The 23897-nt window shown below is 41.6% G+C and overlaps 1 long non-coding RNA gene across 1 annotated transcript, besides 7 other annotated features; it reads right to left on the bottom strand.

Moving 5' to 3' along the window:
- Positions 8652-9152: an enhancer, noted in NCBI's record as "H3K4me1 hESC enhancer chr1:208774147-208774647 (GRCh37/hg19 assembly coordinates)". NCBI's record gives its function as "activates a minimal SCP1, AML or CMV promoter by ChIP-STARR-seq in primed H9 embryonic stem cells {active_cell/tissue: H9 hESC(primed)}" and the evidence as "EXISTENCE:reporter gene assay evidence [ECO:0000049][PMID:30033119]".
- Positions 12146-12195: an enhancer, noted in NCBI's record as "active region_2463". NCBI's record gives its function as "activates an Ori minimal core promoter by ATAC-STARR-seq in GM12878 lymphoblastoid cells {active_cell/tissue: GM12878}" and the evidence as "EXISTENCE:reporter gene assay evidence [ECO:0000049][PMID:35858748]".
- On the bottom strand, positions 13965-21972 carry LINC01735 (long intergenic non-protein coding RNA 1735). The gene is made up of 2 exons (XR_001738430.2): positions 19940-21972; positions 13965-15125 (listed from the first exon to the last, which is right to left on the bottom strand). It is a non-coding gene; the product is annotated as a long intergenic non-protein coding RNA 1735 (long non-coding RNA).
- Positions 15927-16096: an enhancer, noted in NCBI's record as "experimental_1994 CRE fragment used in MPRA reporter constructs". NCBI's record gives its function as "activates a minimal promoter by MPRAs in K562 erythroleukemia cells, with activity observed for the non-introgressed 1:208781507 or rs1417077 variant allele {active_cell/tissue: K562}" and the evidence as "EXISTENCE:reporter gene assay evidence [ECO:0000049][PMID:34662402]".
- Position 16012: a transcriptional cis regulatory region, noted in NCBI's record as "Neanderthal adaptively introgressed variant 1:208781507 (GRCh37/hg19 assembly coordinates) or rs1417077 in the experimental_1994 CRE". NCBI's record gives its function as "modulates activity of the experimental_1994 enhancer by MPRAs in K562 erythroleukemia cells {active_cell/tissue: K562}" and the evidence as "EXISTENCE:reporter gene assay evidence [ECO:0000049][PMID:34662402]".
- Positions 20554-20723: an enhancer, noted in NCBI's record as "experimental_2023 CRE fragment used in MPRA reporter constructs". NCBI's record gives its function as "activates a minimal promoter by MPRAs in K562 erythroleukemia cells, with activity observed for the non-introgressed 1:208786134 variant allele {active_cell/tissue: K562}" and the evidence as "EXISTENCE:reporter gene assay evidence [ECO:0000049][PMID:34662402]".
- Positions 20554-20793: a biological region, named in NCBI's record as "Neanderthal introgressed variant-containing enhancers experimental_2023 and experimental_2030".
- Positions 20624-20793: an enhancer, noted in NCBI's record as "experimental_2030 CRE fragment used in MPRA reporter constructs". NCBI's record gives its function as "activates a minimal promoter by MPRAs in K562 erythroleukemia cells, with activity observed for the introgressed 1:208786204 variant allele {active_cell/tissue: K562}" and the evidence as "EXISTENCE:reporter gene assay evidence [ECO:0000049][PMID:34662402]".
- Positions 21973-23897: the final 1925 nt, after the last annotated feature.

The following is a 23897-nucleotide window of genomic DNA, read 5'->3' on the forward strand; positions in this document are numbered from 1 at the left end:
AAAATACAGTTCATTCTCTTTATTCATAGCAACTGTGTTCTATAAAATTACCAGGAACTTTGAATTAATGACTACTGAACCATTGATCCTAAGGGAAGGACAGGACTAGGTTCCTTGAAGCCTCTGGTCATGATGTTGTCATCAACTGATCAATACATAGCCTTGTTTTATGTTGTCTCTGTTTAAAGACACCTTTACTAGATATTGTTGACTCATTAACATTGAACTCTCGGCCAACAGTGCTGTAACTTATGCCTGGATGAAGCTTATCTAACACAGGTATTTTCTCTGTAAGGCTCAGAACAGTGTTCTTGCGCTTAGGAACAGTAGCCAGCCCTTCAGCATTGTATTTGGGGGGTCATTTTAAACAGCAAAATCACCAAAAAACCGCATAAAAATGTAAAAACATGTGAGACTAAATAGACTGCTAAAAGGACACTTGTTTACAGTATGAGAGCAGAAAAGCAAGGCAGAGTACCAGTTCATTGAACCTTTGCTGAAACCACACATATGGTGACAAATAGTTCCTCATTCTGCACATGTCTGTGAACGACTGAAAAAAGACCAAGAAAATGGATTGAGTTGTACAAATACATTTTAGCTAGTAGATGAATTCATGAATACAAAAAAAACCCATAAATAATGTGGATCAATCATACAGGTATGTGTATATATTGATATTGGGCAAGTTCTCTAATCTCTTGAAGCCTCAATTTACCTAACTATAAAATAGGATTCATAATACTTCCTTATAGTGCTAGTGTGAAGGTGAAATAAAATAATCTGTGGAAAGCATCTGCAGGATATGCAATAAGCTTTTTGAGCCACTGAGGAGGGAGCTATCACCTTTTCCCATGCACTCCCCTTCTCTTCATTTGGCAGCCTCATTTCTTCAGCAGACCATCCATGGTGAGCGGCTCTAACTTTCAATCTGGCCAGATCATTTTCCCCTTGTATTAAAATTGTCCTGGAAAACCATTAGGTTGATTTTCAATCATCACAGCTAATACATTCCTTGTTGCAAATGCCAAGTATTCTGCACTTGCTTCAGTTTTTCAGATCTTCTCTCTCATATTCAGTACCTGGGGTGAAATCCATGCCTAGTAAAACAGCCCTTTTGTATCCAGGCCAGGATGCATCTCTGAGACTTGAATGCTTTTGCTTTCTCTCCTGTTTTTTGTTTTGTTTTGTTTTGTTTTGTTTTGGTTTTGTTTTGTTTTGTTTCTCTTCTCTGCCTGATCAATACTTTCCCATCTGAAGAAGCAAAACATTCTCTCTCTTCTGTTTCCCTTGCTGCTGATTCTGGCTCAAGGGGATGGGGGCAGGAGTGGAGGAAAGAGGGTCAGAGTCTATATTTAACCACAAAGATAATTCCTCCTTGACAGCAGCTCCAGAGAGAATTTGACATTTGAGGGGACTGAGTAGCAAGAGTAATTTGCATTTATCTGGCTATAGAAACAGAAGAGATTGGGAGCAACAAGTGATCTGTGGAGGTAAAAATGAGTCAGGGGTTTGGAAGAGGGAATATAGGGCAGGTGAAGAAGAAGAAATTATTTGCCAACAATGATGGAAGGATAAAGAACAAGACTCCTGAAACTATTTCCTTAAATGTCACACTAAAGCAACTCCAAGAGGATTGTAATAGCTTTGGAGTGGGACAAGTGGCACAGATGGGAAGGCTGACATGTCCCGGCTGCTTAAATACTCTGAATTCTAGATCTGCATTTATCAAAATTTAATGTACACCCGAATTGCCCTGGATCTTGAATAAAATGCATATATTAATTCAGTAGGTTGGGGTGGGCCCCAAGATTTTGTATTTTTAGCAAGCTTCCAAATGAAGCTGATGTTGGTCCTGGGACCACACTTTGATTAGCAAAGCTCTGCTAGAGCGTTTTGGGAGTCCACAGGCAAAGAAAAGCAAGGCAAGGTGAGCAGACAACCATCTCCCCTTCTCCCTTCTCTATTTATAGTTCTCTCTGCTTTTAAAGCCTCATTTTGTATTTTCCTCTTTACTTGTCTTTCCCCATCTACACTCAAGCACTTGGAGAATTTGGATTGTGTTTTGTCGATCTTTGCATATAAGGCTTTGTCCGGAGTGGGCACTTCATAAATATTAAAGTTGTACTTTAAAACATCCCTCTTTCTCCATGAAGCTTTGCCAGATCATTCCAGCCCTACAGCACTTGTTATCTGTATCATTCATTTGGCAATTAATCTTAGACAGCCTTATGACAGTTTACGTATTGTTGTACTGGACTGTTATATATCTTTTGAATTGCTATTTATTTTTTAGCCCTTTATGTATTGACTCTGCTGCTAGGTTGTAAATAAGTTCTTTGAGTTGAGGGACTGCATTTTTATTTATTCATCAATCATTTAGTTTGTACCTACCTGTGCAAGGCAGTGTGCTAGGGTCTTGGTACACAAAGATAAATAAGGTAGGGTCACTGAGAGACAGCATGGTATAATGAGAAGGGTTCAGCTCTCAGCCAGAAACAACTAGGCTTGAATCCCAGCTCTGCTACTAACTAGCTGTATGACCTTAAAAAAGAAAAACACACCACGACCTCGACCTTTACAGCTGTAAAATGGGTTAAACACATTAATCTTGTAGAATTGTGGTGAGATTAGCTAAATGACATATATAACAGTTCCTGTAATAAGGATCTGGTGGGCACTTTGAAAAAATAATTCCCTGCCCTTCGGAAAGTTATCACCAAGTAGTTTATAAAAAATGACAAATATACAAATAGCCAAAGCACCAGAGAGACTATTTTAGTGGGGTCCTTCTTTATAACTCCCCCAGGTCTAGCTGGGAAGGGCTTAATAAATGCCTGTTGCTTGATTGAACACAACCATAGTATCTACTACCATAAAGGTGCTTGGAGAGAGTTAATTGGATTCAATTTTATTTATTAATTTTAATTATTTGAAACTTACTATATTGACTCCTCCTATGATCAGGCCATGGACTAGGCTCTATAAAAGCATAAGGATCTCTCAGTTCTTTGCTTCATGGAGCTTGTAGGAAGAACTCTGCTTACAAAAAAAATGCTGTCACTAAAGAATGGATGACATAAACAAGAACCAGAAGTGCAAATAAAAACATAAGCTGAGAAGAGGAAGGAATATATCAATTCTGACAGTGGTAATAGGGAGGAGGAGGTGGCCTCTGAGCAAAAGGGGAACCCAAGGAACAGTGCAGGTGAGGGGCCAGTTAGGAGGGCTTGGGGAAAGTTCGAGTTGGTGGAAGGCAGCCTATAGCTGTCTTCTAGGCCGTGAAGAAGCCGACTAGATGGCAATACCCTAGATGCTGCTGGGGGACTCCAGGCATGGCCTCCTTTGCTCTGACACCCTCACTATTAAGAATAATCTCTCCTTTGGTCCAGATGAGAAGCCTGAGGCAGAATCTAGGAGATGGCTGCCCACATGGTAGAGATAAGGCAGGGCTAATATTTGGTATACCTGTCTGCCAACCTGTGGATTAGGTGGGATCCAGACTTTCTTCCATTTTGAAATAACTAAAAGGAAGAAGACCTTGGAAGCAGAAGAGCAGAAAGTTCTTTTTGGCTCCTGGGCCAGATTATTGTCCCTACTCATCTACTTGGAGCAAGGATAAATATTGCTTCCACCCTAGTCTTCATGTTTTTCCCTGAGCCTGCGCTGAAAATATGACTTTAGTGACTATGGCCTCTGGTTTGAACCAATCCAGGAATTTCTGGCAATGACAGCTATCAGCAGGCAGTGAGCCCAAAGAGGTTAAAAAGTTAAGTCTGTCTGACTCATCATGGTGCTGAATTCTTAGCTTCAACGGAGTCCTGGTTCTTTACTCCTGCCCTTGGAATCTGCTAGAGTAAATGTCGGCCTGACATATGGTTCACATTTCTGCCATGCCCAGAGATGTCACGTGGGAGCAGCTCTTGATGGTTTCAGGGTACCAGGCCATATTTGCTGCACCCTTAATGGTGCTACCTGTCTTGCAAAAATCCTGTGGATTATTCTATAATCCAGAAAAGCCATTCAGAGGGATTTTACTTAATTTAACCTAAATGAGAGATACTTTTAAGAGCTGTGTAGGTTTGTCCAATCACACCTAGAAATTAACAGTTTTCATACTTCTAGCTTCCTTCTCACAGCAAACAATCATGGGTTATCAAACCATAAATCAGCAGTTAATGGATTTTTTATCTATGTGCTTTGGCCTTTGGTATGGTTTTTAATTTTCTTTTAATTTGTATCAGTCTCAGTCCTGCTTCTTCAATTTTTCCAGCATCTTCAGGTTAGAGGATGCTGCAGTGATGCCCTGCTCCTAGGTGATCTGCAGGAAGGAAGGATGCATGCCCATACCTTCACAATCAAACACAATTTTCCACAATTGAATAGCACAGGCTGGGAAGAGGAAAATACAGTCATGTGCCATCAATATTTCAGTCAATGACAGACTGCGTATAAGACAGTGGTCCCATAAAATACTACCATATTTTTACTGTACATTATTTTTTTCTCCCCCAAGATGGAGTCTTGCTCCATTGCCCAGACTGGAGTGCAGCGGTGTGATCTCGGCTCACTGCAACCTCCACCTCCTGGGTTCAAGCAATTCTCCTGCCTCAGCCTCCCGAGTAGCTGGGACTACAGGCATGTGCCACCATACCTGGCTAATTTTTGTATTTTTAGTAGAGACGGGTTTTCACCATGTTGGCCAGGCTGGTCTCAAATTCCTGACCTCATGATCTGCCCACCTCGGTCTCCCAAAGTGCTGGGATAACAGGTGTACCTTTTCTATGTTTATATACACTTAGATACATGAATACTTACCGTTGTGTTACAGTTGCCTACAGTATCCAGTAGAGTAACATGCTGTATAGATTTATAGCCTAGGAGCATAGGCTATGCCACACAGCCTACGTGTGTAGTAGGCTCTGCCATCTAGGTTTGTGGGCATACACTCTATGATGTTCACATAACAATGAAATCACCTAACAATGCATTTCTCAGAACACATCCCTGTAATTAAGTGAGCAAGTACTGTATATGTGTGTTTAGAGTTGGGGTAGGAGGAGAAGGCTGAGAGCAGGATGGATTCCCTCATGAAAGCTCTGCATGGGAAGAATCTGTCTTGCAGTTCATATGACTTCAGCCTCCAGAGAAGAAGGCTGGGTGAGCAGTTAGAAACATAAAAATTAGAGCTGGGGAAGCCTTCTGATTAAAATGGGCAGCCAGGTGACCTGAGTGTTGCATCAACTGAAAAATTCATATCCAGTACCAGGCCTGTTAAAGACCAAGGGTGGAAATTAACCTCTCTTAGCACAATGATTAAGCTGCTGTCAATAGAGCCCTTTTCCACTAGTGCTAAAAACTTACTGATTTTTCTTTTCTTTAATTGGATTAAAATGAAGGCAACCCAAGACCTCAGGGGAAAGAAAGCTGAGCAGAAACCATACTCTCTAGGGGCTCCAGACTCTGCCAACTGTGTTGCTCCAGGTGTGAGAGAGCTTTGTGTGCCTTTGATGCCTGGACTGAGCAAGCCAGCTATGTGGCTTAATTATCACAAGGCAAACTGCTAGGATAGGGTCTGCAGTGGACTTGCTTCAGATACTACAGACTTCCAGAGCCAGAAAGAGAAGTGAAGCACGTTGTTTAGCCTACAAGTGGTTTTAATCTGTTGCTGTCTTGAGACATTAGGGACCTCTGGCTGGTGGTGAGCACCTGCCTGCATTTGTCTTCTGGGTGGATTCAGACCATCCAGTATACCTCTCCTGTTTCTGCAAAGATCTATAACTTGCTCTCATTATCCTGAGATGCATAAGGATAGATAAATAATGGGGGTGATGAACGCCCTGGGGTAATGGTCCTGAAGTGGATTCCCAGGGCCAGTGTGAACCTGCACAGTGTCTTTGGGTGAATCAGAAAAAGGGTGTCCCTCTGGGCAGTGATAGTCACTCAGCCGCACTAAGTGGCCAGATAAAATGTTGATGCCAAGAAAAGAGTGGCCCTTTCTGGGAAAAGAGATGGAGGAGGGGGGATCAGACACAGCCCTTATGGTTCACAGCTTGATAAACAGAATGCGGACTGGACTTCAGCCATCCCTCCCCACCTCAGCAAGATGCATCGGGACAGGGCAAAAATCTGCATAACCATCAGTAGTGGCCCTGGTGACAACTTGTGAAGCAAGGGAGCAGTGAGATATCTCAAGGCATCGGACTGTGTGGAGGAGGAGGAGCCCTTTACTTCTGTAGGACTTTCCTAGCAGATTCTATAGGATTTTGCTAGCTCCGGGCTCAGCTAAACAAATGTTGGTGAAATAGGAACACAGGACTTTTGAACCAAAGCAGATCTGAAGCAGCAGGCCAGGAACTGGTGCAAAGGGAAGGAAATGATGTCTGCTTCCCAGGTATATGCTCTGATCAGCACCACTCATCTTTCCCTGTGAGTTGGTGCCTCAGTCTTCCCCACAGCCCCAATGTAGTATATTCGGAAAGACGGCTGTAACATCCCCAACATTTTTGCAGCAGATGGAGTCAGGACGCACTCTTGCACTTCACACACAGATAATGGTGCACACCCCAGGTGCCTCACATTCTTCCTTTCTTTGAGGTTGTGTGCTTTTTGATGTCTTGGTTCCCAGCCACAATGGGTTTTAAAGGGATTTGGGAGGAATACATGGGAAGAAAAATTATTTCCACGTGAGTTGAACAATTGAGAGGAATTTCTGAACCAGACAATGACCATAGAGCAAGAAAAAAAATCTGTTGGGGGTGATTTGAAAGTAATACTAGACCCACATATATCTACACTTAGATGGGAAGAAAAAGTGCTTTCTTTTCCCTGTCTCCATTTTTCTCTCTCCCTCTCTGTCTCTCTCAAATGATAATCCTATTGCCGGAATAGAAACTAATTGTTTTCTTCTTCCTAAGTATTTTTCCTTCCTGAATACTGCCTCTTCTTTAATATCCTAAAAAAGCATTACCATGTGAATAGGTTCCAGCCAGCACAATCAAGAGCCTTTTCTGGGGTTTGCCAGATGCTTTTAACAGACACCATACTTGCAAGCATCCGTGAAACATTTAAAACTGTTTGTTCATCCTCATCCACCCCCACCCATCTGCATGGTTCTTTTCTTCTGTAGGAATACAAGTCTTACCCTGGGTTCCAGATTCTGGGAGTCCCCACAAACCCTCTTCAGTGCCTTCTTGAGCTGTGCCTGTTATGATATGGCCAGCAAGATAAGAATAGTTTTTTAAATGGTTGGATACAAACCAAAAGAAGAAGACACATACTAATTATATGAAATTCAGATTTCACGGGTAGAGTGGAGTAATTGCACAGAGATGGTATGGCCAATACAGCCCTAATTATTTGCTCTCTGGCCTTTTACAGAGAAAAGTTCCCTAAATCCTGAGCTTCTTAACTGAGCTTCCAGTCACTGAGGAAGAACTCAGCCAGAATTGTTTTCTAGGCTAGGCCCGTCCAGGGAAGGCAATACACTAGAGATAAGAATTCAAAGGGAGACTCGTGTTGAGGGCTCTGGATTGAGATGAGCATAGATATTTTTGCGTGGAGATTTTGGAAGTGCAGTGTTCATACGCACATGACGCTATGCAATTTTTCACCATACACAAATGCACATGCACACACACACACACACACACATACACACAAATCAGGAAGTCAGAGTCTTCTATTCATGGGGCTGTGGTTGCATCACCCCCTTAGGTCAGGTTGTCAAAGGAGCCAACGGTCAGGTTGGCTCAAAGGAGCCCCTTAGGTCAGGTTGTCAAAGGAGCCAACGGCAATGTGGCTGGTCTGGATGGAGGATTCTAGGACTCTGCTGTTGATCAGTTTACTCCTGATAACTGAAATATTCAGGGGCATTGGGCTCTTATAAGTGAAACAAAACCCATGAGGAAAATAGTTTAGTCCTTCTGCAAGTATCTTGTTATCTGTCCTATCTCTGCTTAATTCCAAATCTAACCTCTCTGCTGATTGGACACTCCAGAGGAAACTGAGCTTTTGGCAGCTAAGTGTAGATCTATGCCTGACTCCTCAGGTTCTCAATGCAACACTTTAACCTGGGGGTGGCTTGTAAGCAATTAAAAAAATATAAATCTGATTCCTAGACCTCATACTCAGGAGAATGTGATCTGTGGGCCTGGGATGGAATGGAGACTAGTTATTTGCATTTTCAAAAGCACCCCAGGTGATCCTGATACACACTAAAGACTAAAAGCTGCCTTTCTCTTCTTCCTCACAGGTGTCAATTGGCAGCATTTCCACCTCAAAAAAATTCAGAGGAAACACACCCCTGCTCCATTTTTCCTCATACCCACCTATTGTCCTTCAGTTCTGTTCAGTTGGTTCATTAACTCTGCCTGGAGAGCCTGCTATGTGCCAGACACTGCACTAGGCTGCATGAGTACCAAAGCAGGTTAGACAGGGAGGCAGGGGTAGGAGATATACATGCCTCAGGAGGTCATTCTCCCCCTGCAGGGTGACCAGTGCTCTGATGGGTTGCCAAAGGTGCTGTGACTCACAAAAGAGCAGGGGCATGCTCCTCAACCTGCACTCACCTGGGCAGGTTCTCTGGACTTCTCTATATCTGTGCCACCACCTTGCCCCTTTGCCTGGGCTGCCAGCTTCCCTGTGGCTGGGTCTGCAAGAACATTCATAATTGCAGGAAGGAGGGAAGCTTTGGTGGGAGTGTTTGGCCCTTCTGTTGAACTAAGAGTCCTCTTTTCCTCTCTCTGCAACTCATCGCAGGGGCTGGAAGGAACAATGAAGTTTGCACTCAGCTGTCGATTCAGCTGATGATGCAGGAGGCTGGGAACGAGGTGCTGGGGCAGCCTTCCATGGACAGCTATATTGGCCCCACGGCGCTCAGCTTAGAGATAATACAAACTTTGTTCTTTTCTTTACTCTTTTTGTTATCAGTAAACAAAGCAGATCCGCTGCTGGGGTGACACTGAGGGATGAGATGCACAGTGACAAGGTGCCTGAATATATATTTTTCTGAACTATGATGAATTTTTTTCAACAGAGTCAGTATTCTGACCACTGTCCCCCGCTGACACTTTTATTATCTGTAGCTCAATTTCATGGAGCAGATTTGGTTTTCTTCTCCAATCCTAAGATTCTTTTTAAAACAAATCAGCTTCACTCTCTGGTGGTGGCTTTGTTTGTCCTTTTCTTTTTCTGGGATGACATTTTTTGAGGACTGAATATTTGTAGCTCTGTGTGGAATAAAAGCATTCATTTTCTCCAAGAAGCCTCTTTTTTCACCCCCTCTTGTTGCCAAAGAAGCAGGGCTGGACAGTGAGACCAATGATAATAATAAAAGATAATATTTATTGAATGCTAACTCTGTAACAGGCACCTTTCATTTGGCTCTATACCCATGATGGCTTCTACTCCTCACAACAGCCCCATGAAGTAAGTGCTAGTATTACTCTCATATTACAGAGAAAGAAATGCAGGCTCAAAGAGATTTTGAAAGTCATTTGCCCCACATCGCAAGTTCATAAGTTGCAGAGTCAGGATTTAAACTCAGGCTCAGTCTGGCTACAGAGCCTGGGTTCTTATCCATCACACAATGCTAGGTTACTCTGGACACAGTCTTGGCTCTCACATATGCATAGCATTCCTTAACTCCCTGGATACTGAAAGTGGCTAATCCGGAAGAGGAGAGAAGGGAAGCTGTTCTTTTGAGTTTCTTATGTCATTGCTTTCCCCGGACTTAGTGGTGTAAGTAATTTGGGATTGAACATGGGGATAAGAGCACACCACACAGTTCAAAATGAAGGTACTGATGTTCCCTTCTCAAGGAGCTGGGGCCCTCATTTTTGCTCGGTGTGTTATAATTATAGCCCCACTGGCTGCAGTCTATTTAGTTAAGACGGAAATGTGAGTTTAATAAACATTTCAAAGTGACTTTATTGGCTGTACATTCTTGATGATGGCGCATCAAGAGAAAGAAGATTTTACCAACATAAAGATATTCAACCTCACTGAATCCATGGCTATGATCAATTCACTGTGAGTTTTCACCTAGAATTAAAAACTGTGGATTATCAAGGTGAGGGTGAGGATAAAGATATAGAATAACATATCAGAGATTCCAATAAGTAGCCAAGAATATTTCATCAATTTTTCCAAGGGGATTTCTCTTTCTCTCTCGTTCTATTCTAGCCTTTCCTCACTCCTCATTCACATCGTATCAAATTACATCCTGGAAATGGCTTGCCTGTCCCTGCTGCCTGAGCTTACTAAAGGTAATGCTGAGCTGCCTGGCATGAGCTACCCCATAATCTAGTGTGGAGTTTTGTCAATGTTCAGATCACAGAAGCAAAGGAAAGAAGAGGAACAAATCTACCTATGCACCTTATGGGACTCATCTAAATGGCACTTCCTCCACCTAAAGCCCCTAGCCTCATTTTCCCCTACTCATCCATTCATTCACTCACCAAATATTTATTCAGTTCAACAAATATATACTGGGCATCTAATGTAGGCCAGGTGCTGTGCTAGGCATACACAATAGGGAAGAAGTAGAATAGCCCCTGCTGTCCACATGAGCATAGTTAAGTGGAGGAGGCAAACAATAAAATAAGTGCAATGATTGCATGTGGCTGGGATACACGGAACACTTTGGGAACTCCTGGTGGGAAAGTGAATGTGTCGATATGGTACCCCAGGTAGAAGGAACTGTCTGTTGGGTTTTTGTGTTACTTGCAGCCTGTAGCACCCTACCTGAAGAAGCATGCTTGAGAAGTCACTACATATACGCCACACTTCTACTTCACTGGCTATGTTCCTGTACATTCTGCAAGCATAGATATCTTCTTAACAGCTCTACCTATAGTCTTACACACTGTATGAGAACTACCTCAAATGTCCCCTCCCTTCATCCAAACCAACATGCTTCTCCTTCCCATATGACTTTATGCCCATTTTGGAAGGCAATGGTCACATTTTCCCTAGTATCATAATTACTTCTGTGCTTATCTGATTCCTCCTACTGAACTGGAGGCTCTTTGACCCTAGGCACAGTGTCTTATGCTTCTGTACAAACCCTGCAGTGCTTTCACAGTGTCTGACCTCAGTAAATACTAAGTGATGAATGGATGAATGAATGGATGCAATGCAATGGGGATCTGGGGAGAAGTGAGATGCAAACAAAGGAGAAGGTGAGATCTAGTGAAATGTGAAGTGAAAGGGAGATCCAGCTAGGCAGAGAAAGTATATGGCCTGAGAACCACTGATGTCAGGGCATGAGGAATCACCAAGTTGGAAAAGCCATATTGCTTGGCATCTCAGGTTAGGGCTGACAGTACCATGTTGGTTAGGAGTTGACAGCTGAGGATAAGAAACTCGGAAGCTAAAAAATAACAAGCACAGAGATAAATTTATATATATACATTTATAGTTCATCTCAAATAATGTCTTTCTACCTTAATAATGCAGGAGAGAAAGCCACACTCTGAAGTCAGGGATGGCAGTGTGGCATGTACCTAACAGGTGAGATTCAGCATCATGGAATGATTACTTGCTGTTAAGTTACTCTTAGCTAGGGCTTGAGAACCTATGATACCACCTTGCAACAGCTGTCCGGACCTCAGAACAGCCCCTAGTTGATGCTAAAGTGGCTTTTGAGATCCAAGAATGTGCGGGAGCTGCAAATAAAGTGGTAAAATATATTTGCAACTGAACACATTTAAGAACTTCTTGTGACATTCAAGGCTGTAGGGGAGTGGGCCAGACATGCCCCAAGGGTAGATGTGGAAGAGGCTGCTTTTGAGATCTGCAAATGAAAAGATGAGGAAGTGAGCAGTTCAAGTTTTATTTTGGGTGAAGAAATGAAAAAGTGAAACTTATTATTCCAGGGCTGGAAACAGAAGAGAGGCACCAGGCATGTTAGTATTGAGAAACTAACTTTTGTCTAGTTGGCTAGACTGGATCCTTTTATTCTGTGTAGACGAGAAAGTTTATTTACATTTTTCTTTACTTCTATCATTTATTCCTTCATTTTTCCTCTTTCTTTCCTCTTCTTTGTCGAGAAATGGGGCTTCTACATCTGTGAAGCAAAGTAATGGCTTCAAATTGATAAATGTGTGGCCTAGTCAATTCATGTCCACGTCCCCTTTTAAGAAAGTGAAGACTCGGCTTGTAGGTAGAAGAACCAGTGTGAACTGTGGGAGTGGGCTAGGGGGTGTCCGTTTCTCAGGTGAGAACTCAAATCAAGCCTTCAGTAACACTCGTAGCTCCTGTTCTGTTTTTGTGATGCATTCGGTTATTTATGGCACATTTCTATGTCTCTGCTGGACTGACAGTCATCCAGATAGACAGACCTGATGGAAGAACACAGGAAATGCTTGCTGAGTGAAATGAGTCAGATGAAAATTAATCACTTTGTGCTCTCTGAGAAAGAACTAGAGTGACAGCCCTCCTCATTGTCTGAAGCTCACAGGACTAGAAGTTGAGAGTCAAGTTCAAGTCTAACTGTGGCCCTATCCAGAGCATGCTGCTTCTCCTTTCTAGCCTTCTTTTTTTTTTCGTCTCTAAAGACAATGGACTGAATAATCCCTAAAATCCCTTCCAGACATTTCACTCTGTTTTTCTATGCTTCTTTACTGTGCATTTCTAAGCTTGTGAAGCAAGAAAGAGAACAGGCAACACTAGAACCCTCAGAGCTGGGCATGTTTCCTCCAGGAAGCCTGGGTCCTGCAGATGATGCCTGGAGAGCTCACAGGCCCTGGATATTCTGGGCCACAAAGATGGGCTCAGCTGGCCCTGGGCCCAGACTGAGTTTAGGCGCAGTATGGATTTTTTATAAAGAGAAAAGTTTTGTTTGATAAGCGTACACAAAACTCAGGGTTGCTGAGTGAAGCTGACTGTGTGCTGATTCCCTGTAGCCATGTGGAAAACACAAGTCAAGTGTGAGTCATACATCAACTTATTTCGTGATTCTTAAGTTGCAAGGTGTTTTGTTTTATTTTTATTTTATTTTTTATTTTTATTTTTGCCTTGTTTAGAAAACTGGCCCTTTCTCCTCTAAATGCCTCTTCCAATCTGCTGCCTTTGCCCATTATAACTACGTCTAGAGGATGCCTCTGGACATGCTATGGTCACTGCTTTGGTCCCACCAAACTCCTTTTCCTTCCCACTCCCAGCTTACCCTGCCTCTCTTTTCCTGAAACCCTCGTCCTCCCAAGTTTTATGGAAATCAATCTTAAAGGAATGCTGCTCATTTGATTCACTCTAGTTCTCATTAGACCTGCTATCTGATTTCATAATGTTCCGGGTTTGTGAGCCAGTGCCATTTTTTGACTGTATTTTGTTTGAGTTTTATAGGAAGCACACACACAGACACGAATATCAAGCAACTGATACTATGCTTGTTTTAAGTACCAATGTAAAGTCACAACTAAAACCTAAACTTGCCCTTCTCCTGAACTATGCCTACTGATCCAGCTCTACAATGTGCTCTGGAAGGGGCCCTGGGACAGCCATCTCCTGTCCCTCCAATGTTCTATCGAGCCCAGAAACCCACATGTAACCCCTGCCACCCTGCACGGGAGGGGAGAAAGCTTATCTGAACACTAAATTCATTATACTCAAAGGCAACATTTGTCCAAAAGCCAAAAAGAGCAAATGGAACAAAATAACAACTAGTGTCTGTGTATCACTGTGTAATTTGCAAACCACTTTCCCACAGGCTCTCAGAGGCATTACCCCTGCCCTTTGAGAATATGTAGACTATCTCCATCGTGTGGGTGAGAAAACAGGCCACAAAAGTTTAACTTACTTTTCCAAGGTTTTCTCATTATTAAATGGCAAATTCAGGCTTTAATCCCAGGTTTGCCTCCTATAGATTCCACGGAAATTTCATGGCGAGGAAATGATGTCCACAGTAGATGAATATAGGCTGTAGGACAGACTAAGTATTTTTACTGCATTTAAAAAATAAGTTGTGCCAATTTTGTTTTATTAGTTTCAAGGTAAAACAGCAATTTTTTCAAACATCAGAAAATATGTGTTCTTTTCTATATGCTTAGATAAAGGTTCAGCTGAATCACCAGATCTGACTGCCAATTTATGTGGCTATGAATTTTTTATATACTTTTTTTTAGATCAGTTTTAGGTTCACAGAAAAATAAGCAAAAGATACAGAGATTTTCCATGTGTTCGCCACCCCCACACAAGCCTAGCCTCCTCCATTATCAACATTCCCCACCAGAGAGGTACATCCAAAAGTCCACAGTTTACATTAGAGTCCACTCTTGGTTTTACTGAGTTTATTAGACTGGGTTTTAGTATTCCTTAGGGCTTGGTAATTCTAAGACGTCTACTATGATTGGTCACTAAAGACCACAAAATATCATGAGCATTGTTTTATTCATGCATTAAACAAACACTTTTAAAATCCATGTTGAGTTCAAGGTCTCGTGCTAGTTGTCATTGTACCAAGACCTGCCCCCTTGCCCCTCAACACACACTGTAATCAAACATGTACCACTCCATCCCCAATCTGCCTGTGTCATGACCAAAGCCTGAGCACTGTCTTCATAAACCCTCTCCAAGTCACTGCCAAAGAGTTCTCTGTCAAAGGCTACCATGAAGTAGTTTAAAGGGCTTTTGGGACTCCTGGATAAAGCCAATTCAAAAGAGACTCTGGCAGTAGGTGGTACCACTACCTTCCTAAGAACCCCTGGCACCCCACCTCTCTCCCTGGATGCACCACTCTTAGCTTTTATTATCTACAAACTAGGGTACTTTATTTCCCCTCAGCCTGTTTCATAAATCCAAAGCCATTCTATGAGCTGCAATACTAGTTGGTGGATTAAAACTACAATCTGGACTGGCAAGCTGCTAGTCAGTAACGTGCTTTGGGAGCAGGAAGGCTGGTGGAGGGGGGTGAGAGTAGAGGGAGGGAAGGAGATGGGATGGGGAGGACAGTGCTGTCCAGTCCTGCATTGTGCCACAAGAAAGGTAGAAGACAAGGCCATTGTGTTTGCTCAGTGGCTTTTCTTTGGTTTTGTTCTTTTCTCCAGTGTCTGACAGCACGTGGGCAGGGGACTTGTTTCATTGTTTAGGTTCTCTCTTCTCTCTGTGTTGTCAACGGCACCCATCTACAAAGAGACAGCCAAGGAATAGTTTGTTTGTTAAGAAAATAAAAAGGAAAATTCTTTTGTTTCCTGTTTCTGTGCAGCTTGGAAACAGCCCTCACAAAGAAAGATTTTCAAAGAAATGCTTCATCATTCAGAGACAGGTCAGTCCATTTATTTCTGACCCCATCAACCTTCTGATCTAGGCTTCTTCCCAGTGCTTCTTGCCCACCACCAAGAAGAGCCACCTAAAACCTGGGCTCTAAAAAAAAACTGTAGACAGACCTCCTAACAAGATGGGCTACTGCCTGGCACCACCATAATTTATTTATTGATTATAATGGGTAGGAACTTGGCTTATTTATGGCAGACTTTTCTGAGTATTTATTGATACTGCTAATTCTTGGCAACCAGAAGGGAGAGTTGGCAGGTTCAGTAATCCAAAGAGTGGCGCTATGAAGCTCCATCCTCAGAATAGCACCAAGGAAGCAAATGATTTGTGGTGCTCAGAAGCAATTGTGAATATTCAACTAGAGTTTAGGCTGAGGTGATTTCCCAAACAAATCATTATAGAGGAAATGTTTAAAGAGAGAGAATGTAGGGAAATAAGGAAAGGTGTTGCTAGATAATATTTACCCCAGCCCTGAGGCCAGGCTGAGTTCATGCAACCCTAAAAATAAAGCAGTTCAGATGGTGAGTTTGGGCCTACTGAATCAGAGGGAATTCTGTGATTTGGATGTCACATCATATTTACAAGGCTTGTCCCTGTGGTGCCATTCACTATATGGAATTTTTAATTTAAAAATTAAGAAATAAATTATTAACATAGACTCTGACACATGGGTGGTAGCAACCATCCAGGTTGGCATATTAATGTCTGCAACTGTTGGTTGCTGGACTATAACACCTATTGGCAAAGTTTGGGATTACATCTCATCACAGACCACTTATTATTCGTGCAGTCAGTATAGTTCCTCAATAGTTATTAAGCGCTTATTGTGTGCCCAGCATTCTTCTAAGCTCTGGGGTTACAGTGGTAAAGAAAGACTGACACATTTTTTGTCCTATGAACAGAAAACATATTGAGGTGAGACAGATAGATATAATCAAATAAATATATAAGACTATTTCAGATAGTAGTAAGTGCTATGAAAATTAACAAAATTTAGTAATGTAATAGAAAACAGAGCTACAGGGCCAACGGTGGGACTGCTTTACTTGGGGTAGTTATGCAAGATCCGACATTGGGATGAACCCAGAATGAGAAAGAGTGAACTATACAGAAACCTAAAGGATCAACATTTCAGGAAGAGAAGATGTCAGGTACAAAAGGCATGAGATGGGAACCTGTCTTAGTCCATTCTGTGCTGCCGTAACAGAATACTACAGACTGGTTAATATATAATGAATAGAAATTTGTTTCTCCCAGTTCTGGAGGCTGGGAAGTCTAAGGTCAGACACCAGCATGTTCATTGGTGAGGGTCTGGCCTCTGTTTCCAAGATGGCACCTTGAATGTTGCAGTCTCTGTGCTGGGGCGGGGGATGCTGTGTCCTTACATGGCTGAAGGAAGAAGGGAAAAGGGTACAAACTGCACTCCCTCTCTCAAGCTTTTTTTAGAAGAGCACCTAATCCCATTCATGAGGAAGGAGCCCTCATTGCCTAATCACCTCTTAAAGGTTACATTTCTTAATATTATTACATTGGCAACACAAGATTTTGGAGAGGACACATTCAAACCATAGCAGAACTCATTTTATGTGTTTGGGAAACAGAAAGAAGGTTAGTAACACTAAGAGTAGAGAGTCTGGGAGAGCATGGCAGAAGACAAGATCAGAGAAGAGTATGTAGGAAGCCCACCATGGTATTGTGTGCCTACAGTCCCAGTTCATGGGAGGCTGAGGTGGAGGATCCCTTGAGGCCAGAAGTTCAAGGCTGCAGTGCTTTTCAACTGCATCTGTGAATAGCCACTGCATTCCAACCTGGGCAACAGAGCGAGACTGTCATTTGGGGTTTTCAAAAGAAGTACATAGTAAAATTAGGATTAGAAGTTTGGATTTTATTTTAAATGTCCTAAAAAAACTAGATGGCTTTCAGAAAGAAAGTGATAAGATATTATTTCAGGTTTCAGATGATCATCCTGGCTGCTATGTGGAACATATAAGCAAGGAACACCAGCCGGAGGCTGAGCAATTATCCAGGCAAGAAGTTATGGTGGCACTGGTTATGACGGCATTTATTTTTTTGTATAGAGGTAGAGATGGAAGAAAGAGGTCAAATTTGAAATATATAAGAGGACAGTTTTAAGAATTTCTAAGTATAGAATCACAACACATTGCTTTATACTTTAGATTTGCAAAATTAATATTTGAACTAAGTATTTTACTAATACCTAGTAAATACTTAGCACTAGACTCAACTGTCTCCTTCCAAAACCCCTCCAACCCATTCTAAATTTCTCTAAAAACTAAGTACCTATTACCAATAGCATAGAAATTAAGAGGCTCAATTCAACTATCAAATGAGCCTGTTTTCAAATTTTTATTATACCAGTTAGCAGTCCTGAGGTCTTTGGCAAGTTATTAAATTTCCTGAGCCTCAATTTTATCAACTGAAAATGGAGATAATAATAGGAACCACCTCACAATTGTTTTGGGGCCTAACTCACATAGTGTATATACATAGCCTGCCTGTAGACACATAACAAATTCTCAATACACATTAACTAGCATTCTTCTTAAAACTTCTTCCAGGTGGAAGTAGATGCCTTATCATTACAGTCTAATCTATAAGACACGTAAATGTCTTGCCGGACTTGCATATTCACAGAGCAACGTTGAAATTTTTAAATTGCCAAAAGCGTAGCTTTTATTTTTTTCATTTTTAATTGATGTATAAATAACACACATAAACTGCATGTATTCAAAATTTACAATTCAATTTTTTTGTATAAATATATAACTGTGAAACCATCACCATGATTGAGATGATGAACATGTTCACTGTCTCCAAAAGTTTCCTTTTGTGGCACCTCTCTGTCCCTCTCTGCAGCCCTGACACTAGCCCCTAGGCAACCACTGATCTTTCTGTCACTCTTGATTGGTTTCCATGTCCTAGAATTTTATGTAAATGAAGTCATACAGTTTGCACAGTTTTTGTTGTTCTGGCTTCATTCACACAGTCATGCATTCCTTTTAATTGCTGAGCAGTGTTCCATTGCATGGATGCGCTACAGTTTGTTTATAACCGCTGATGGACATTTGGGTTGTTCCTAGTTTTTTATTATTACAAACAAGGCTGCTATGAACATCCATGTATAAATCTTAGTGTCGTGTCTTAGTCTATGCTGCTGTTACAGAACACCTGAGAATGGGTAATTTATAAACAACAGAAATTCATTTCTCACAGTTCTCAAGGCTGAGAAGTCCAAGATAAAGACACCAGCATCTGGTGAAGGCTACTGTCTGTTTCCAAGCTGGAACCTTGAATGCTGTGTCTTCAGGAAGGGAGGAACGCTGTGTCCTCATGTGGAAGAAGGAGGAAGAGTAAAAAGAGGCTAACTTTCCTCTGTCAAGTCCTTTTGTAAGGGCATTAACCTATTCATGAGGCAGACCACTCATGAGCTAAACACCTCCCAAAAGACTCCCCCTCCCAACACTGTTGCATTGTAAATTAAGTTTCTGTGTTTCTTCTTTTTAGAGACAGTGTCTTACTCTGTCACCCAGGCTTGGGTGCAGTGGCACATTCATAGCTCACTGCAGCCTCCAACTCTGGTGCTCAAGTGATCCTTCCACCTTATCCTCCTGAGTAGCTGGGACCACAAGCATGTGTCATCATGCCCAGCTACTTTTAAAATTGTTTTGTAGAAGTAAGGTCCTGCCATGCTGCCCGGGCTGGTCTTGAACTCCTGGCCTCAAGTGATCCTCTCACCTCCATCTCTAACACATGAATTTAGGGGAATACATTTACACCATAGCATGTGGACATATGCTTTCATTTCTCTTGGGTAAATGCCTAGAAGTTAAATAGCTGGATCTTATGGTAAATATATGATTAACTTTTTAAGTAAGTACCAAAATGATACAACTACATTTTCCAAAGTGGTTGTATCATTAAAGTGGTTGTATCATTTTACACTTCCACTAGCAATGTTTGAGAGTTCCACTTGTTGCAGTATTTGGTATGGCTAGTCTTTTTAATTTTAGCCATTCTAATAGGCGTATAGTGGTTTCTCATTGTGCTTTTAATTTGCAGTTTTGTAATGACTAATGATGTTAATTAAGCATCTTTTCATATGTTTACTTCTTTCTTCTCTGAACTCTTAAGATAATTAATTGCCTCTAAGAATTCATTAGCTTCTCTAGGCTATCATAAGTAAATAAAGAATTAAATAGATTATAAATAGGTAGGAAGGTAGGTAGGTAGGTGGATGGATGGATAGCTATATTGATAGGTAGGTAGGTAGGTAGATAGCTACCTAGCTAAATAGCTACCTAGCTAAATAGATAGATAGATAGATAGATAGATAGATAGATAGATGATAGATAGATAGATAGATAGATAGATAGATAGATAGATAGATAGATAGGAATTTGAGTTCCTGTCATGTGCCAGACATGATTTTAGGCAATGAGAATAGAGTGCTGAATGAGACAAAAATTCTGCCCTTATGGAATTTCTATTCACATGACAGAGACAGGCAATAAACAATGTAATAAAATGTTAAATATATATAATTACTATGAAAAAACCCTGAATAGTACACGATGACAGATAGTGAAGGGATGAAGCAGGGATGGAGCAACATTTTAACATGATCTCAGACTGTTACATTTATTACCTGCACCTCCTGTGAGGCCCTGAAGAGCACTGTACAGCACTGTTCTGCAGTACTATGCATCATGGGTTATGCTCAGTGCAGATTTGTTCATTATTTCTAGTCCTCTGTCGCCTTCACAAGGGTGGGGTGTCTTAGTCCATTTGGCTTGCTATAACAAAATACCATAAACTAGGTGGCTTATAAACAACAGACATTTATTTCTGACAGTACTGGAGCCTAGGGAGTCCATGAACAAAGTGCCAACAGATTTGGTGTCTGCTGACGCCCACTTTTTGGTTAATAGGTGGTGTCTTCTAGCTGTGTCTTCATGTGGTGAAAGGACCAGCTAACATTTTGGGGTCTCTTCTATAATGATGTTAATCCCTCATGACCTAATCATCTCCCAGTGGTCCCACTTTCTAACACCATCATTTTGGGAGTTAGGTTTCAACATACGAATTTTGGGAAAACACAAACATTTGACCATAGCAGTGGGGCTCCTCCCATCTGTCTTGTTGCCTGGTGAATCTCTCACATGTGGCTCAGGGTCAAGAACATGGTAGGCATTTGTTTAATAGATATCAATTAGATAAATTAATGGAGGAAGGGAGGAGTGAATGGTTCACAGTAGGAATGTAATGTGCAGGGAGAACTCAGTACCAGAACTGAGGCAAGAATTCAGACTTACCAAGGCCTCTTCTGCCAGCTTCCTCTTCTTGGCAGAATGCCTGTGCCACAGCTCATCCAGACAGTTGTGTCCATTCCTTTTGGTCCAGATGAGATGCAGGTGCTCTCCTGAGTATCTTTGTCTCCACCATAGAATTATTTGATTCTAGGTAACATCAATGGCTCCAAACCCTCTCCTTGTGGCCTTACTATGTGGCATTTACCACACTCTGCATCATGAGTGATGTGGGAATTATGCTTCTTGAGATGAGAAAGAAGCCCAGATCATCAACTTTGTGACCCTCTCGGCCCCATTTCAGTATCAGATACGTAGAAGCTCAGTAAATATTTATTGTATTAAATTGAATCCTAAGTCCCTCTAAATGATTCAAGATGTCAGTGAAATACCCTTCACCATTCCAAAAGGCAGAACAAGAGGAAACATCCTATGTTCCTGAAGCACGACTGATTAGACTTAAGAAAATTTTTTATTTTGGTCCTCTAAGTTGTTTAAACAAACTCATTCATATAATTTATATTTGGCAATTTTTGAAAACAGGAGACATTTTCACTCTGAAATAATTTTGAAGTCTTCCAAAGAAGAGACAGAGGCATGGATGAGATGACCTTTAAAAGTTGTTTGCAATGTGTTCAAGACGTGTCACTTGTTTATCTGTAGGTGACATCCTCAATGAGCTCAAGTTCCAAGCCCATAGAGCTGCATGGGCCACCAGAGTCCTCCGAGGCCCCTGGCAAGCTGCAGATCCTGCCTTCCTGTCTCAAAGTTTACAGCCACTGCAAAGGTCAGGAATTGTGGTCCTCACATGTAAAAGATGAGACAGCCAGGGAGCAGGCAAGTTTGCAACCCAGAGCTCTCTTGAGGAACACGGAGCAAAGCCACCAGCCAAGGCATGTTGTTTCCGTCATAATGTGTGCTGCACAGTGTGGAAGAGTTTTATGGTGGCCCTGGCCTAGAGCTGTAAAGTTTATTTCTGCACATTAGCTAGTCCATTGTCCCCTGCCCCCAATATCTCTTTCATCTTCTTTAGGTAGACTTGTCAGGATCCTCTTTTAAACACAAGCCAACTCGGGTGGGACAGAGTTTGTATATCAGCACCTTAATAAATGATCTTCTTTTAAATACAAACCAACTGGGGCAGGGCTGCTTGTATATCAGAACCTTAAAGAAGGCACTAATGTGGCACCCATGGCATCCTAGCCTGTCTTCCTCATTATATGCTGTACTATGAGAATCTAAATAATCTCAGTCTCTCCTGCCTGTGCACTGACTCTGAGGATGCAGTGAACTAACAATAGGTAGAATCATTGCAGACAAAAAGTAGCATCTTTGCATTGCATGGTGTGTTTGGGGAAAATGAAGAATTGTATCTGTGTTCACATTTTTACTTCTACAAAAAGCTGTGTTTCTCCCCAGGCCATGATCCCTGAATCCAAAGAAAAATATTTTAATGCAATTGGGAAGTAAGGAGGAGAGAAGAAAAAATGTGGTGCAATATTCTCATCCAGAAGATGGGGATAAAATATCATCATCTTTATGGGTATTTTGATGATTAAATTGTAAGATCCACATAAAGAGCTCAACACAGAAACTGGTACCTGGAAAGTGATCAATAAATGTTACATAGAATTATTATCTGCTATAACTGTTATGCCCAACTTTCTGGGAAGTTCACTGGACATGGAGGGAGGGAGAGGGAGATGAAAGGGTAGGAATAAAAATAATACAAGTGAGAACACATTTCTTGCTGAGAGGCAAGGTAATGTAGCAGAGAAAGTGCTAATGTTGAGTGCTAGACGAGCCTGATATGTTGTGGGAATGAAAGGCAGGTTAAGAGGGAACACTCAATACATGTTGGTTCATTTTTCTTACTTCTATCTTTCACTTAACTGATTTGTTCTCAATAGGAAATACTTTTTGTCTGAAATTACTTCACAATTCTTCCATAACTAGGTTCAAATCCACAACTATTGATTTCTTCTCTCTCTTAAGAGACAGGGCCTCATTCTTTCTCCCAGGTTGGAATGTAGTGGCACAACCCTAGCCTTGAACTCTTCGGCTCAAGTGATCCTCTCAACTCAGCCTCTCAAGTATCTGGGACTAAAGGTACATGCCCACTAGGCTGAGCTAATTTTTTAAATTCTGTTTTTATTTATTTATTTCCACTTTATTCTCCACTTGAGGAGAGGAGAGGGAAAAGGAGAGAGTAGAGATGGATGCTTACTTTGTTGCCCAGGCTGATCTCGAACTCCTGGCCTCAAGTGATCCTCCCGCCTCAGCCTCCCAAATAGATGGGATTACAGACATGAGCCACTGCCCCTGGCCCCTGATTCTCTTTTAATTAGGACAATCCTGGTTTCCAATGCCAGTTGTCCTGTTTACTAAGCATATGGTCTTGCGTATGTGACTTAACCACACAGGGGCTAAATACCTGATACATAAAATAGAGATGCTAACCCCTATACCAGAGGGTTATTAGGATGATCATATAAGATAACACATGGAGCGGGCTTATCATACAGTGGTACTCAATAAATGGTATCATTGGTAGATTTCCCTAAGCATAGCTGGGTTGCAGGAGTGACTGCTAAAACAATTACCTTGGCTAGCATTTATGGGATTTTTACTAGCAAAGAGGAAAAATAATTTGCTTCATCTAAAATCTTGACAAGTGAGCTATAAATGAAAGAAGATGTGTACACCCTAGAGAGGGAAGGCATTCAGCTTCTCTGTGGTCCTACAGAGGTTTGTCTCCATTCCTGAAAATCTTTTTCATTGCCTCTTTTGACATTCCTACCAACTGACTGTATAATACTACAGTTTCTCTCTGGCTTGCTTGTTGCTTCCTATTGAACTCTCTGGGGAATATCATGCCCCACATGCAGATATGTTGTACTCACTCTGGGTCATTAAGTCCTTCCCTCATCAATACCAATGGTGCACAGAAGCAGCTCATGGCAGGTGTTTACTTCTTCTGAGATGTGTTAACCTCAGGTCTTGTTGGACTGGTATTTACCGCAATGGCTCTATTTTGTAGATTAAAAAACCTGAAGCTCATGGGTTAGAAATGAGTAGGTCAAAGCTCTAATGAGGAAATAACATAGAAAGACAATGAATTTCAGGTTGTTCTCAAGCTGCAGTGGATTTTGTTGAGTTTTTTTTCAAGTTATAAAAGCAGTTTGTGTTTATTACTCTAAGACAAACAAAACAGTTCTTATAGGAGCTGGAAAGCAGGTGCCAACCACCAGACCCATAGTACCTGCCTTACTTGGAAGACTAATTACTATTGCAAAA

This window comes from Homo sapiens, chromosome 1 (genome assembly GCF_000001405.40).
Source record: "Homo sapiens chromosome 1, GRCh38.p14 Primary Assembly".
NCBI lineage: Eukaryota > Metazoa > Chordata > Mammalia > Primates > Hominidae > Homo > Homo sapiens.